General features: G+C 49.6%; 1 protein-coding gene and 1 long non-coding RNA gene across 21 annotated transcripts in view; one reads left to right on the top strand and one right to left on the bottom strand.

The window, feature by feature from the left end:
* INPP5B (inositol polyphosphate-5-phosphatase B) overlaps positions 1–14,274 on the top strand; it is an 86,361-nt gene that overhangs the window by 921 nt on the left and 71,166 nt on the right. For 6 of the 17 annotated variants that reach the window (XR_946643.3, XR_007059977.1, XR_946644.4 and 3 more), the window contains exons 3-7: positions 287–381; positions 2,244–2,341; positions 2,468–2,497; positions 5,339–5,449; positions 14,084–14,224. Coding sequence is in view for 8 of the 17 variants with exons in the window: in NM_005540.3 (NP_005531.2) it covers positions 287–381; positions 2,244–2,341; positions 2,468–2,497; positions 5,339–5,449; positions 14,084–14,224 (475 nt within the window). In the remaining 9 variants the exon portion in view is untranslated. Of the gene's footprint in view, positions 1–286; positions 382–2,243; positions 2,342–2,467; positions 2,498–3,872; positions 4,055–5,338; positions 5,450–14,083; positions 14,229–14,274 lie in introns of those variants that run through there. The other 11 variants (NR_158628.1, NM_001365823.1, NM_001365825.1 and 8 more) reach the window with 9 other exon arrangements.
* On the bottom strand, positions 336–14,087 carry LOC105378651 (uncharacterized). Of its 4 annotated transcripts, XR_001737983.3 has the most exons (5): positions 13,865–14,087; positions 11,387–11,496; positions 6,045–6,198; positions 2,225–2,402; positions 510–858 (listed from the first exon to the last, which is right to left on the bottom strand). It is a non-coding gene; the product is annotated as an uncharacterized LOC105378651 (long non-coding RNA). The 4 variants fall into 4 exon arrangements; XR_007065883.1 differs by lacking the exons at positions 510–858; positions 13,865–14,087 and adding an exon at positions 336–485 and having other exon boundaries at positions 11,387–11,925; XR_007065886.1 differs by lacking the exon at positions 11,387–11,496 and having other exon boundaries at positions 820–858.

Here is a 14,274-nt window from a genome sequence, read left to right as displayed (position 1 = left end):
AAATCAGTATTTACTAAGTACTTACTGAGTCCTGGACTCTCAGCCAAATGCTTTAAATACGCAGTTATCCTCCTAACTCCCTATGAAGTTGGGGATTATTATCCTCATTTCATAGATAAGGAAGGCTTAGAGAGCCTGTTTGTCTGTTAGTTCAGCACATGGTTTGAGTGCTCACCCAAGGCCACACAGTGAATCTGGGGGGGCAGGGGAACAGAGGGAAGGTGGGACAGCCTGGGTGGGGAGAGGCCTCGCCTCTGGGTTGTCTTCCCTTGACTCTGAGCCGCAGGCGGTGCAAGGTGTGCTGTGTGAGGGGGACAGCCGGCAGAGCCGCCTCCTGGGACTCGTGCGCTACCGCCTGGAGCACGGCGGCCAGGAACACGCGTGAGTGAGGGGCTTGGTCCCCACCTGTCTGGGCCATGGGGTTGTTCATCACTGCACCCTCCAGCTGAACTTCAACTGTCCCTCCAGGGCAGGGTCTGAGTCTCCTAGAATAATTATCACAATGATAGTTAATATTTTTTGAACACTATATTTTAAACCCTGCACACGTACTAACTCATAATCCTCAAGATCTAAGGAGGAAGTTTCTTGAGAAGAGACAGTTTAACATACTAGTCCAGATCTTGAGCCTCGTGGTCCAAATGCCTGGGTTCAAACCCAGGCTTTGTTACTAACAAGCCACATGATCTATTGTTTGTTTGTTTTGAGAAGGAGTCTTGGTCTTTGCCCAGGCTGGAGTGCAGTGGGGTGATCTTGGCTCACTGCAACCTCTGCGTCCCAGGTCCAAGCAATTCTCGTGCTTCAGCCTCTTGAGGAGCTGGTATTACAGAGGTGCCCGCCACCATGCCTGGCTCATTTCTGTATTTTTAGTAAAGACAGGGTTTCACCACGTTGGCCAGGCTGGTCTTGAAGTCCTGACCTCAAGTTATCCACCTGCCTTGGCCTCCCAAAGTGCTAGGATTACAGGCATGAGCCAGCGTGCCCAGCCTCACATGATCTTTTTTTTAGAGACGGGGTCTCTTTCTGTCACCCAGGCTGGAGTGCAGTAGTGCACTCATAGCTGCATGCTGGAACTCCTGGCCTCAGGTCATTCTCCCACTTCAGCCTCCCAAAGTGTTGGAATTTTAGGCATGAGCCACCGCACCTGGTGGAACCACATGATCTTGAGCAAGTTGTTTTACTCCTCGATTTGTCCATATTAAAGAGTAAAGTGAGTTAGGCCAGGTGCAGTAGCTCATGCTTGTAATTCCAACACTTTGGGAGGCTGAGGCAGGAAGATTGCTTGAGCCTAGGAGTTCGAGACCAGCTTGGGCAACATAGCGAGACCGCCCCCCCTACCCCGCCCCACCTCCCGCTCCCCGGCTCCATCTCTACAAAAAATAAGAAAATTAGCTGGGTGTTGTGGTGCATGCCTGTAGTCTCAGCTACTCAGGAGGCTGAGGCGGGAGGATCACATGAGCCGAGGAGTTTGAGATTACAGTGAACTACGATTGCAGCCTGGGCAACACAGCAAGACCCTGTCTCTATAAAAAAAAAAACAAGAAAAAAAAAACGAACACCATGGGGTGTGTAGAAAGTGCTCAATAAGGCTGGGTGCAGTGGCTCATGCCTGTAATCCCAACACTTTGGGAGTCTGAGCTGGGAGGACTGCTTGAGTTCAAGACCAGCCTGGGCAATATAGTGAGACCCCTATCTCTATTTCAAATAATTTAAAAAATATAATAAATAAAAAAAAGAAAGTGCTCCATAAATGTTGTCTAGTAACACCCACATACCACACAGAAGCAGAGAGAGAGTAATAGTTGTCAAAGGTCTCATAGCTGGTAAGTGACTCAGGGTCTAGGAGCTGGGAGGGAGGGGGCCTTAGACATTTTCTGATCCATCACCCCAGTTTTACAGATGGGAAACAGGTTCAGGGAGAGAAGTGGGTAGCTAAGGTTGCACTGTTCCTGTCACACACAGTGCTAGAATGCACCATGGTTAGATCAAACATGTGTTTGTGTTTTACTAACAATCAGGGGCTCCTGCAGATGAGAAAAGTTCTGGTTTGATGACCTCATCCATAAAACTGCAGTCTCTGATGGGCACCACAGACAGAGATGGCATGAGGAGTGTGCCTAGCCAGGGCACCACCAGCACAGTGTTAGGGACCAACGAGCGAGTGTGAGCACCCCGAGACCTCCAAGATAGGGCTGAGGGACAGCCAGCGGGCCCCCATCCTCACCTCTGCTTCCTGCCCTTAGTCTCTTCCTCTATACGCACCGGAGGATGGCCATTACCGGGGACGATGTCTCTCTGGACCAGATAGTGCCAGTCTCGCGGGATTTTACGCTGGAAGAAGGTGCCACAGGGGGCTGGGTGGTATGAATCCTCTCCTATGGGCCCCCCAGCTCATCTTTGTCCTTGATGGGGGGGCAAGGGGGAGTAAGCTCAATTGCTAAGGGCATTCTCATTTCCCTCCCCACAGTGTCCCCAGATGGTGAACTCTACATCCTTGGTGAGTGGTCCTCTTGGTCTGGGTCCCACTCGGGGCAGGGGTGCCTGATTTTCAGAGAAAGAAGAATGGTGTAAAGTAAGAGCACCCCCTGCTAAACTTATTGCAGCAAGTAAGACCCTGTAGGATCTGGCACAGCCCATCTCCGTGGGCTCATCTCCCATCACTCTCCTCCTTGCTGCTGTTTCCGTCTCCCCCGATAACACACATTCTCACCCCGGAGCCCCTGCACACGCTGTCCTCTCCTCCTGCAAGCCTCACATCTCTTCACCTAGCCAACTCCTACTCAGCCTTCAGGGCTTCCATTCATGCATTTCTCTTCCCAGGCAGCCTTTGTTAAACCCCTGAAATTAGGCCAGGGCAGTGGCTCACGCCTGTAATCCCAGCACTTTGGGGGGGCCAAGATCACGAGGTCAGGAGTTCAAGACCAGCCTGACCAACATGGAGAAACCCCGTCTCTACTAAAAATACAAAATTAGCCAGGCATGGTGGTGCATGCCTGTAATCCCAGCTACTCGAGAGGCTGAGGCAGGAGAATTGCTTGAACCTGGGAGGCGGAGGTTGCCGTGAGCCAAGATCGCACCATTGCACTCCAGCCTGGGCAACAAGAGTGAAACTCCATCTCAAAAAACAAACAAAAAACCCCCAAAAAATCCTGAAATTGTTTTGTATCCCATGGATACATGTGTCTGTCCCTCCCTCCCTCCCTTCCTCTCTCTCTCTCTCTCTCTTTCTTGACAGAATCTCACTCTGTCACCCAGGCTGGAGTACAGTGGCATGATCTTGGCTCACTGCAACCTCCGCCTCCCAGGTTCAAGTGATTCCCCTGCCTCTGCTTCCCAAGTAGCTGGGATTACAGGCACCCGCCACCATGCCCAGCTAATTTTTGTATTTTCTGCAGAGGCGGGGTTTTGCCATGTTGGCCAGGCTGGTCTTGAACTCCTGACCTCAGATGATCCACCTGCCTTGGCCTCCCAAAGTGCTGGGATTATAGGCGTGAGCCACCACACCTGGCTTGCCTTTTTCTTATTTTTGCCAGCCTCTCTCAATCAGTGATGTAATTCTTTATATTGACATATTTAATGTCTGTCTGCTTTGCTATACAACAATAATAATAATAGAAGCAAATAATGAGTTAATGATTATCCCACGCCAGCATTGTGCTAGAAGTTTTACATACACCAAATCACGCTTTTCTCTTTTTTGTTTGAGACAGAGTCTCGCTCTGTTGCCCAGGCTGGAGTGCAGTGGCGCGATCTCGGCTCACTGCAAGCTCCACCTCCCGGGTTCACGCCATTCTCCTGCCTCAGCCTCCCAAGTAGCTGGGACTACAGGCGCCTGCCACCACACCCGGCTAATTTTTTGTATTTTTTTTTAGTAGAGACGGGGTTTCACCGTGTTGGCCAGGATGGTCTCGATCTCCTGACCTTGTGATCCACCCCACCTCGGCCTCCCAAAGTGCTGGGATTACAGGCATGAGCCACCGCACCGGGCCTAAATCAGGCTTTTCTCACAGCTCTATGAGGTTATCACTGTTTGCATCTCCATTTTATGGACAAGGTAACTGAGGCCCAGAGAAATTAAACAGTTTAGTAAGGGGTGGAACCAAGATTCAAACTTAGAGAATTCAGATTCTAGAGCCCACACTATTTTATTTTATTTTATTTTATATATATATATATATTTTTTTTTTTTTTTTTTTTTTGAGACGGAGTCTCGCTCTGTCGCCCAGGCTGGAGTGCAGTGGCGCGATCTCGGCTCACTGCAAGCTCCGCCTCCCGGGTTCACGCCATTCTCCTGCCTCAGCCTCCCGAGTAGCTGGGACTACAGGTGCCCGCTACCATGCCCGGCTAATTTTTTGTATTTTTAGTAGAGACGGGGTTTCACCGTGTTAGCCAGGATGGTCTCGATCTCCTGACCTCGTGATCCGCCCGCCTCGGCCTCCCAAAGTGCTGGGATTACAGGCGTGAGCCACCGCGCCCGGCCCTTTATTTTATTTTTTGAGACAGGATCTTGCTCTGTCACTCGGGCTGGAGTGCAGTGGCACAAATATGGCTCACTTCAGCCTCAACCTCCTGGGCTCAAGCGATCCTCCCACCTCAGCCTCCCAAGTAGCTGGGACTCCACATCTGGCTAATTTTTTATAGAGATTGGGTGGCGGGGGGTGGTGTCTCATTGTGTTTTCCAAGCTGGTCTCAAACTCCTGGCTTTAAGTAATCCTCCTGCCCTGGCCTCCCAAAGTGCTGGGATTACAGGCATGGGTCACTGTGCCCAGCCTAGCCCACACTCTTAATCGCTCTGCTAGGTTGCTTCTGTTTGTCTGTTAGTTCAGCACATGGTTTGAGTGCTCACCATGTGCCCGGTATTGGGTATATGCTATGAATAGGGAAGCCTTCTACAGTCTAGCTCCCTGAGACGGGCCCACGTGTATTCTCTTCACCATGGTATTCCCTGTGCCTATCACACTACCTGGCATAGTCAGGTAGACTGACCCATGGACATTCCCTCTTGTCTGCCTCTATGTGCTTTTCATTTCATCGGGAGGGGAACAGACTACACATCCAGAGAACCTGTTCTTTCCCAGTTCCATCTAGTACTGCAGTTGAGGCTTACTGACTTTTCAGAGCCTTCTTCTGCCTCCTGTATAAAGAGGGGATGATGTTAATTTGGAACTCAGGGTACAGAGGGTTTCCTTGTTGTCCCAGCAGCTGTCCCAAGTAAGTTGCTTAAGGGCTGAAGGGGCTTTGGGAGTCTGGGTTGCTGATTCTCCATTCTCAGGCTTAGGCTGCATCAAGCACTTAGCTCCTGGCAGCCAAGGGTTCATTTCCTGCCTCCTTTGTGCAGGCTCAGATGTGACCGTCCAGCTGGACACAGCAGAGCTTAGCCTCGTATTCCAACTGCCCTTTGGTTCACAAACCAGGATGTTCCTCCACGAAGTTGCCAGGGCCTGTCCAGGTAGGTAAGACCCCAGGCTCCCTGGGGGTGGGTGGGTTGCTGGGTATTCACCTACCCACCCCAGTTGACTCTCCACCCTTTGGACTCTTACCCCATGGTTTCTGTGTCCTTTCGAAGCTGCTGGTGTAAAGCCATAGTGCCCCCAGGCTGCCAGCCAACCATGGTGTTTGCTTTTGTGTTTACAGTTTCTGGAGTTGAGTGTTAACTACAGCAGGGCCCCTTTGCTCTCCTGGCTCTGGGCAGGGTTGCACAGGATAGGTTGTGACTGTGATGCAGAATCTCTTACAAGTTGGCAGACTAAGCAGCTTCAAGCGGCCCAACTTCCCTCTCTCTGCCACCCACAGCTAGAACTCACAGCTAGAACCATCTGTCATATTGGCTCTCCTGCCCTTGAACCCTGCTGTCACTCACTGCCGCTGAGAAAATGGTCTAGCTTTGGGCTAGCAGTGAAACGTTAGTGGCCTTTAGGACAAAATTTGTTTAGAATGGGACATTAGCCCGGCAGGTAAAGGAGAGTTTGTGTACAGAGCAGAGGATTAGTCATAGAACATGCAAATTCAAGCCAACAGGTGCTGGGGCTTAAATGTTTACCCACCACTTTTAGCTGTCTTCTTTCAAGCTATCTCTTGTCTTTGTGGCAATGGGAGAGGGCTGGTCTTCTCTGTGGTCTTGCTGTGGAGCCTGAGCCTCCAGGGGCTTCACTTTATTTTGCTTGCTGTGCCAGGAAGGGGACTGCCCTTGGATTCAAACTAGGGGATAAGGGAAAAGGAAGCAGAAGAAACAGCTAGGCTTAGTAGCTTGCTCGTAATCCCAACTACTTGGGAGGCTAAGGCAGGAGGATCACCGGAGCCCAGGAGTTCAAGGCTACATTGAGCTATGATTGCGCCACTGCACCGCAGCATGGGCAACAGAGTGAGACCCCTGTCTCTAAAAAATAAAATAACAGGCCGGGCGCGGTGGCTCACGCCTGTAATCCCAGCACTTTGGGAGGCCAAGGCGGGTGGATCACCAGGTCAGGAGATCGAGATCATCCTAGCTAACACGGTGAAACCCCGTCTCTACTAAAAATAAAAAAATTAGCCGGGCATGGTGGCGGGCGCCTATAGTCCCAGCTACTCGGGAGGCTGAGGCTGGAGAATGGCATAAACCCAGGAGGCGGAGCTTGCAGTAAGCCGAGATTGCGCCACTGCACTCCAGCCTAGGGACAGAGCAAGACTCCATCTCAAAAAAAAAAAACAAAAACAAAAACAAAAGGAAGTAGAAACATGATTATAGAGCTTTGAATGCCTGGTTAAGAGGTTTATTTATTTTATTTATTTTTTTGAGACGGAGTTTTGCTCTTGTTGCCCAGGCTGGAGTGCAGTGGCGCGATCTCGGCTCACTGCAATGTCCACCTCCCCGGTTCAAGCAATTCTCCTGCCTCAGCCTCCTGAATAGGTGGGATTACAGGCGCCCACCACCATGCCTAGCTGATTTTTTTTTTTTTTTTTTTTGAGACGGAGTTTCGCTCTTGTCGCCCAGGCTGCAGTGTGGTGGTACGACCTTGGCTCGCTGCAACCTCCGCCTCCTGGGTTCAAGCGATTCTCCTGCTTCAGCCTCCCGAGTAGCTGGGATTACTGGCGCCCACCACCACGCCCAGCTGATTTTTGGATTTTTGGTAGAGACACGGTTTCATCATGTTGGCCAGGCTGGTCTTGAACTCCTGACCTCAGGTGATCCGCCCACCTCAGCCTCCCAAAGTGCTGGGATTACAGGCATGAGCCACCACACCCAGCATAATTTTTTGTATTTTCAGTAGAGACAGGGTTTCACCACGTTGGTCAGGGTGGTCTCGAACTCCCGGCCTAAGGTGATCCACCCACCTTGGTCTCCCAAAGTGCTGGGGTTACAGGCCTAAGCCACTGCGCCCAGCCAAGAGGTTTCAAATTTATTAAGCAGGGGGAAATTTATCTCTAAATCTTAAAATAAAAGGATAACATATTTTATGATTATTAATAATAGTTGTAGGAGGTATAATAATAGAAATAACACCAAAGAGCCTGGGCTTTGAAGCTATACAGCCCCTTGAGTTTGAAACCCATCTCTGCCAGTACCTAGCTGTGCAACTTTGGGCAAGCTACTTCACCTCTCTGAACTTTAGTTTTTGTAGGCTTCTGTATGTAATGAATACCTTATTCATGGGTTGTGAGAATTAAATGAGATAACACATGTAAAAGTGCCTACCACATAGCAGGAACTCAGAAAATGTTTTTCCCCTCTACAAGAAGACTCGTAGCTCACATTCATTGTTGATTTGGCATGCGTTAGGCACTATTCCAAGAACTTTTCACACATTATCTCATTTACTCCTTTTTAAAAAAATTTTTTAAATTTAATGTTAATTTTATTTATTTATTTATTTATTTATTTATTTATTTTTGAGACAGAGTCTCGCCCTGTTGCCCAGGCTAGAGTGCAATGGCGCAATCTCGGCTCATTGCAACCTCCACCTCCTGGGTTCAAGTGATTCTCCTGCCTCAGCCTCCCGAGTAGCTGGTACAGGCGCATGCCACCACACCCAGCTAATTTTTTGTATCTTTAGTAGAGACAAGGTTTCACCATGTTGATCAGGCTGGTCTTGAACTCCTGACCTCGTGATCCACCCACCTCGGCCTCCCAATGTGCTGGGATTACAGGCATGAGCCACCGTGTCCAGCTTTTTTTTTTTTTTTTTTTGAGACCAACTTTCACTCTTGTTGCCCATCTGGGCTGGAGTGCAATGGCACAGTCTTGGCTTACTACAACCTCCGCCTCTGGGGTTCAAGCGATTCTCCTGCTTCAGCCTCCCAAGTAGCTAGGATTACAGGCACCTGCCACTATGCCTGGCTAATTTTTGTATTTTTATTTTTATTTTTATTTTATTTTATTTTATTTTATTTTTTGAGACAAAGTCTGGCTCTGTCGCCCAGGCTGGAGTGCAGTGGTGCAATCTCAGCTTACTGCAACTTCTGCCTCCTGGGTTCAAGCGATTCTCCTGCCTCAGCGTCCCGAGTAGCTGGGACTACAGGCGCATGCCACCATGCCTGGCTAATTTTTGTATTTTTTGGTAGAGACAGGTTTTACCATGTTGGCCAGGCTGGTCTCGAACTTCTGACCTCAGGTGATCCGCCCACTTTGGCCTCCCAAAGTGCTGGGATTACAGGCGTGAGCGACTGTCCCTGGCCAACTTTTATATTTTTAGTAGAGATGGGGTTTTACCACGTTGGCCAGGCTAGTCTTGAACTCCTGACCTCAGGTGACCTGCCCATCTCAGCTTCCAAAAGTGCTGGGATTACAGGCGTGAGCTACCTTGCCCAGCCTCTCATTTACTTTTATTTATTTATTTATTTATTTTTTGTGAGACGGAGTCTTGCTTTGTTGCCCAGGCTGGAGTGCAGTGGCGCCATCTTGGCTCACTGCAACCTCCGCCTCTTGGATTCAAGTGACTGTTCTACTTCAGCCTCCTGAGTAGCTGGGATTACAGGTGCACGCCACCATGCCTGGCTAATTTTTGTATTTTTAATAAAGACGGGGTTTCACCATGTTGTTCAGGCTGGTCTCGAACTCCTGACCTTGTGATCTGCCCACTTCGGCCTCCCAAAGTGCTGGGAATACAGGTGTGAGCCACCGCGCCCGGCCTGGCCTCATATACTCTTTACCACGATCTTACAAGGGAAGTATTATCGATGTGTCCATTTCATAGATGAGGAAACTGAGGCTCAGAGAGGATAAGAGCGTTGCCTGAGTACCTAGCTGGTAAACGATAGCGCCAGGATTAGGCAGGATTATATAGTTCTACTCCAGGCCAGGCACGGTGGCTCATGCCTGTAATCCCAGCAGTTTGGAAGGCCTAGACGGGTGGATCACTTGAGGTTAGGGGTTCGAGACCAGACTGGCCAACATATAGTGACAGAGCGAGACTCTGTCTCTCAAAAAAAAAAAAAAAAAGTTCTGCTCCAGAGCCTGAGCCCTTGCGTGTTTTGCTCTAGTGCTTCCTTAGCTCATGGCACCCTCTCCCCTATAAACAGCCCAGGAAGGCTTCATGTAGGAGGTGAATTTTTTTTTGAGACTCCCTGGCTGGAGTGCAGTGGCATGATCTTGTATCACTACAACCTCCACCTCCCGGGTTCAAGCGATTCTCTTGCCTCAGCCTCCTGAGTAGCTGGGACTACAGGTGCCTGCCAACATGCCTGGCTAATTTTTGTGTTTATAGTAGAGACAGGGTTTTACCATGTTGCCCAGGATGGTCTCAAACTCCTGACCTCTGGTGATCCGCCCGCCTCGGCCTCCCAAAGTGCGGGAATTACAGGCGTGAACCACCGCGCTCGGCCAGAGGTGATATTTAAGCTTAGGCTAGAAGGATGAAGAAGAGTTTTTCCCCAGGCAGGCAACAAGGAGGAAAAGGGCTTGGCAGTCGGAGGGAAGGGCAGGACCTTTGGTGGGGACTGAACTTGGGGGAAGAGGAGGGTGTGGAGAGAGCTGAGCCAGGAGGGGTCAGCAGAGAGCATCTCATGAAGGGTCTTAGCTACCCAGCAAAGAGCTTGGACTTTGCCCTATAGCTTATGGGGAACCATTAAGGAATTTTATTTATTTATTTATTTTTTGATACGGAGTCTCACTCTGTCGCCCAGGCTGGAGTGCAGTGGCGTGATCTCGGCTTACTGCAAGCTCCACCTCGCAGGTTCATGCCATTCTCCTGCCTCAGCCTCCCGAGTAGCTGGGACTACAGGTGCCCACCACCACGCCTGGCTAATTTTTTGTATTTTTAATAGAGACTGGGTTTCACCATGTTAGCCAGAATGGTCTGGATCTCCTGACCTCGTGATCCGCCCGCCTTGGCCTTCCAAAGTGCTGGGATTACAGGCGTGAGCCACCGCGCCCGGCCGCCATTAAGGAATTTTTAAGCTGGAGAGTGATAAGGCAAGATTTGCAAGTTAGAAAAGTTCCTCTGGCAACTGGTATAGAAAAAGAGAACTAGAGCAGGGAGATAGGAATGTACTGGAATGGCTAAGGAATGGAAAATGAGGCTGGGACCTGGGAGAGCCCTGGTGATGGGAATGGGGAAGGAGGGATGGACTTGAAAAATAGAGAGGTCAAACTGATGAGAATGAAGGCACCATGGGGGCAGTGAGTTTGGGTCACGTTCACAACTTCATCCGCAGAGATAAGAACAGTGCCAGCCTGCAAGGTGGCTCACGCCTGTAATCCCAGCACTTTGGGAGGCCAAGGCGGGGCGGATCACGAGGTCAGGAGTTCAAGACCAGCCTGACCAATATGGTGAAACCCCATCTCTACTAAAAATACAAAAAAATTAGCCAGGCGTGGTGGCACGTGCCTGTAGTCCCAGCTACTCGGGAGGCTGAGGCGGGAGAATCGCTTGAACCCGGGAGGCAGAGGTTGCAGTGAGCCGAGATCGTGCCACTGCACTCCAGCCTGGGCGACAGAGCCAGACTCCATCTTTTTTTTTTTGAGATGGAGTCTGGCTCTGTCGCCCGGACTGGAGTGCAGTGGCACGATCTCGGCTCACTGCAAGCTCCGCCTCCTGGGTTCACGCCATTCTCCCACCTCAGCCTCCCGAGTAGCTGGGAGTACAGGCGCCCGCCAGCACGCCCGGCTAATTTTTTGTATTTTTTTAGTAGAGACGGGGTTTCACCGTGTTAGCCAGGATGGTCTCGATCTCCTGACCTCGTGATCCGCCCGCCTCGGCCTCCCAAAGTGTTGGGATTACAGGCGTGAGCCACTGCGCCCGGCCAAGACTCCATCTTAAAAAAAAAAAGAACACCGCCTGTCAGATAGCAGGCACTTAATAAATATTTGTTGACTGCAGGAGCAGAGGTTGGTAGCTATGAGAATGAAAGACAGGAGTCAAGGATGACTTCTTTCTTTTAGGATTGGGTGTGTGTCTTGCAGTCCCCTTACCTGTCATCCTTCTGGGGTCCACACCACACCTGGGGTAACCAGCAGAGAAACTCTGTACCAACCAACTTCTCTGAGTGCTTGTCATGATGGGGATTTCCTCAGGGAGGGACCTGGGTTAGAAGGGACTCTCAGTATTGACAGACTCTTAGATATCCACCAGCCCAACTCTTTCATTTTACTAGAGGCACTAGAGGCAAAAGGAACTAGGTTTTTTCCACCCAGTCCTTGATGGATAATGTTGTACAGCACAAAAGGCCAGAGAGTGGAAGTGTCTTGGCTAAGAATCTACTATTAGAGAAACATCAGCTAACAAGAGATCACAGTTAGCTAACATTAATTGAGCACCTACTGTGTGCCAGACATTTTTCTAGATACCGAGACAATGCACAACAACTGTATTTCTCCGTTTGGTCTTCTGAACAATACTAAGAAGTAGATATCCTGTTTTACAGACGAGTAAATTGACACAGAGGAGGCAAGCAACTTACCCAAGATCAATCATCAATTGAAGTAATAGGGGCCGGATGGGGTGGCTCACACCTGTAATCCCAGCACTTTTGAGAGGTTGAGGTGGGCGGATCATGAGGTCAGGAGTTCGAGACCAGACTGACCAATATGGTGAAACCTCGCCTCTACTAAAAATACAAAAATTAGCCAGGCGTGGTGCCGTGTGCCTGTAATCCCAGCTACTCAGGAGTCTGAGGCAGGAGAATCATTTGAACCCGGGAGGCGGAGGTTGCAGTAAGCAGAGATCACGTTACTGCATTCCAGCCTGGGCGACAGAGCAAGAGTTTGTCCCAAAATAAATAAATAAATAAATAAATAAATAAATAAATAAATAAATAAATAAAATAAAAATTGAAGTAATGGGACCAGGTTTGAAACTTCAGTTTCTGATGCCAAAGCCCTCGGAGTTCAGAGATTTCAGTGCAGATCCCAGGTCTGTCACTTCCTAAATGTGAATGTGAACACTACATTTTATTTTATCTATTATTTATTTATTTATTTATTTATTTATTTATTTATTTATTGAGACAGAGTCTAGCTCTGTCACCCAGGCTGGGGTGTGGTGGTGCAATCTTGGCTCACTGCAACCTCCACCTCCCAGGTTCAGGTTATTCTCCTGCCTCAGCCTCCCGAGTAGCTGGGATTACAGGTGCCCGCCACCACACCCGGCTAATTTTTGTATTTTCTTTTTTTCTTGAGACAGAGTCTCACTCTTTCACCCAGGTTGGAGTGCTGTGGTGCGATCTCAGCTCACTGAAACCTCTACCTCCCAGGTTAGAGGGATTCTCCTGCCTCAGCCTCCCGAGTAGCTGGGACTACAGGCGCATGCCACCATGGCCAGCTAATTTTTTGTATTTTTTGTGGAGACAGGGTTTCACCATGTTAGCCAGGATGGTCTGGATCTCCTGACCTCGTGATCTGCCCGCCTCAGCCTCCCAAAGTGCTGGGATTACAGGCATGCGCCTGGCCCTACTATATATTTTATTTTTTCAGACCTTGGCTTTTTTATTTATACAATGGAAATATAAACTTGCCTTCTTCAATAAGCCAAGTTTTTTGAGGATCAGACGAGGCCAAGTATGGGTTAATAGTATGTAAATGCTGAAGACAACTTAAAAGCTGTGTCTGGCAGTGCCATAGTCAGGACTGGAACTCAAGTCTTCTCATATATCATGTCCTTGCACATCCTATTCAGTTCGGTCGGGTTCATGCAGCTCTACAGACAGAGCAGGTGGGATAGCAGGAGGGTTAAGAGCAACTGTTCCAGAGTCAGATAGTTTGAGTCAGAGGGTTTGAGTCAGAGACAGAGGTGACTCAAGAATTTCTAAGAGGGAGAGTGGCAGTCTGGTTAAGGGAGAAACAGAGGACTTGTCTTGATATATTTCATAGTAAACACACTGCTTACTTACGGCGTGTGTTTCTCTGGAGTGGGCTGCCAACTGCTGCTGGAGGTTATGGGTGGTGAAATCCTCCAACCCTCTGGCATCGGTTTGAATCCTCCACTCTGCTAGTCACTCTGCGACCTCAGACTTAACCTCTCTGAACTTGGTTGCCTTGTATATAAAATGGGGATAATAGGCCGGGGGTGGTGGCTCACGCCTGTAATCCCAACACTTTGGGAGGCCGAGGCAGGTGGATCATGAGGTCAGGAGATCAAGACCATCCTGGCTAATACGGTGAAACCCCGTCTCTACTAAAATACAAAAAATTAGCCAGGCATGGTGACACGTGCCTGTAGTCCCAGCTACTCGGGAGGCTGAGGCAGGAGAATCGCTTGAATCCGGGAGGCAGAGGTTGCAGTGAGCGGAGATCGCTCCACTGCACTCCAGCTTAGGCGACAGAGCGAGACTCCGTCTCAAAAAAAAAAAAAAAAAAAAAAAGAAAAGAAAAGAAAATTGGGATAATAGTTTCCTCCCTCATAAAAGGTGTGTTACGAGGAGTAGGAAGATAATATTTATACGAGGCACAGACCTTGGCACATAGTTACCGTGAGGTTCAAGGAATGGCGGTGGTCTCTGCCTTGGAATAGTACTTTTGTGTTCACAATTATTCTTGCATTTGAACCTCAGTGCGCACAGAACCCTTCTGTGCGCGGGAGAAACAGGGCCGGAGTCTCTTGGGATAATACAATCATGCAGAGCCGGCTCTTCAAGCTCGTGGCTCAGTCTGCCCCCATTTGTTCCTGCACAGGCTTCGATTCTGCGACCCGGGATCCTGAATTCCTGTGGCTGTCTCGGTATAGGTGCGCAGAGCTGGAGCTGGAGATGCCAACGCCGCGCGGTTGTAACTCGGCCCTAGTTACCTGGCCAGGGTACGCGACAATTGGCGGAGGCAGGTATCCGTCCCGGAAGAAACGGTGGGGATTGGAGGAGGCCCGGCCA

The sequence above is a fragment of the Homo sapiens genome, chromosome 1, assembly GCF_000001405.40.
Source record: "Homo sapiens chromosome 1, GRCh38.p14 Primary Assembly".
Taxonomy (NCBI): Eukaryota; Metazoa; Chordata; class Mammalia; order Primates; family Hominidae; genus Homo; species Homo sapiens.
The sequence above is the reverse complement of the archived record's forward strand: the minus strand, read 5'-3'. Positions and strand labels throughout refer to the sequence as shown.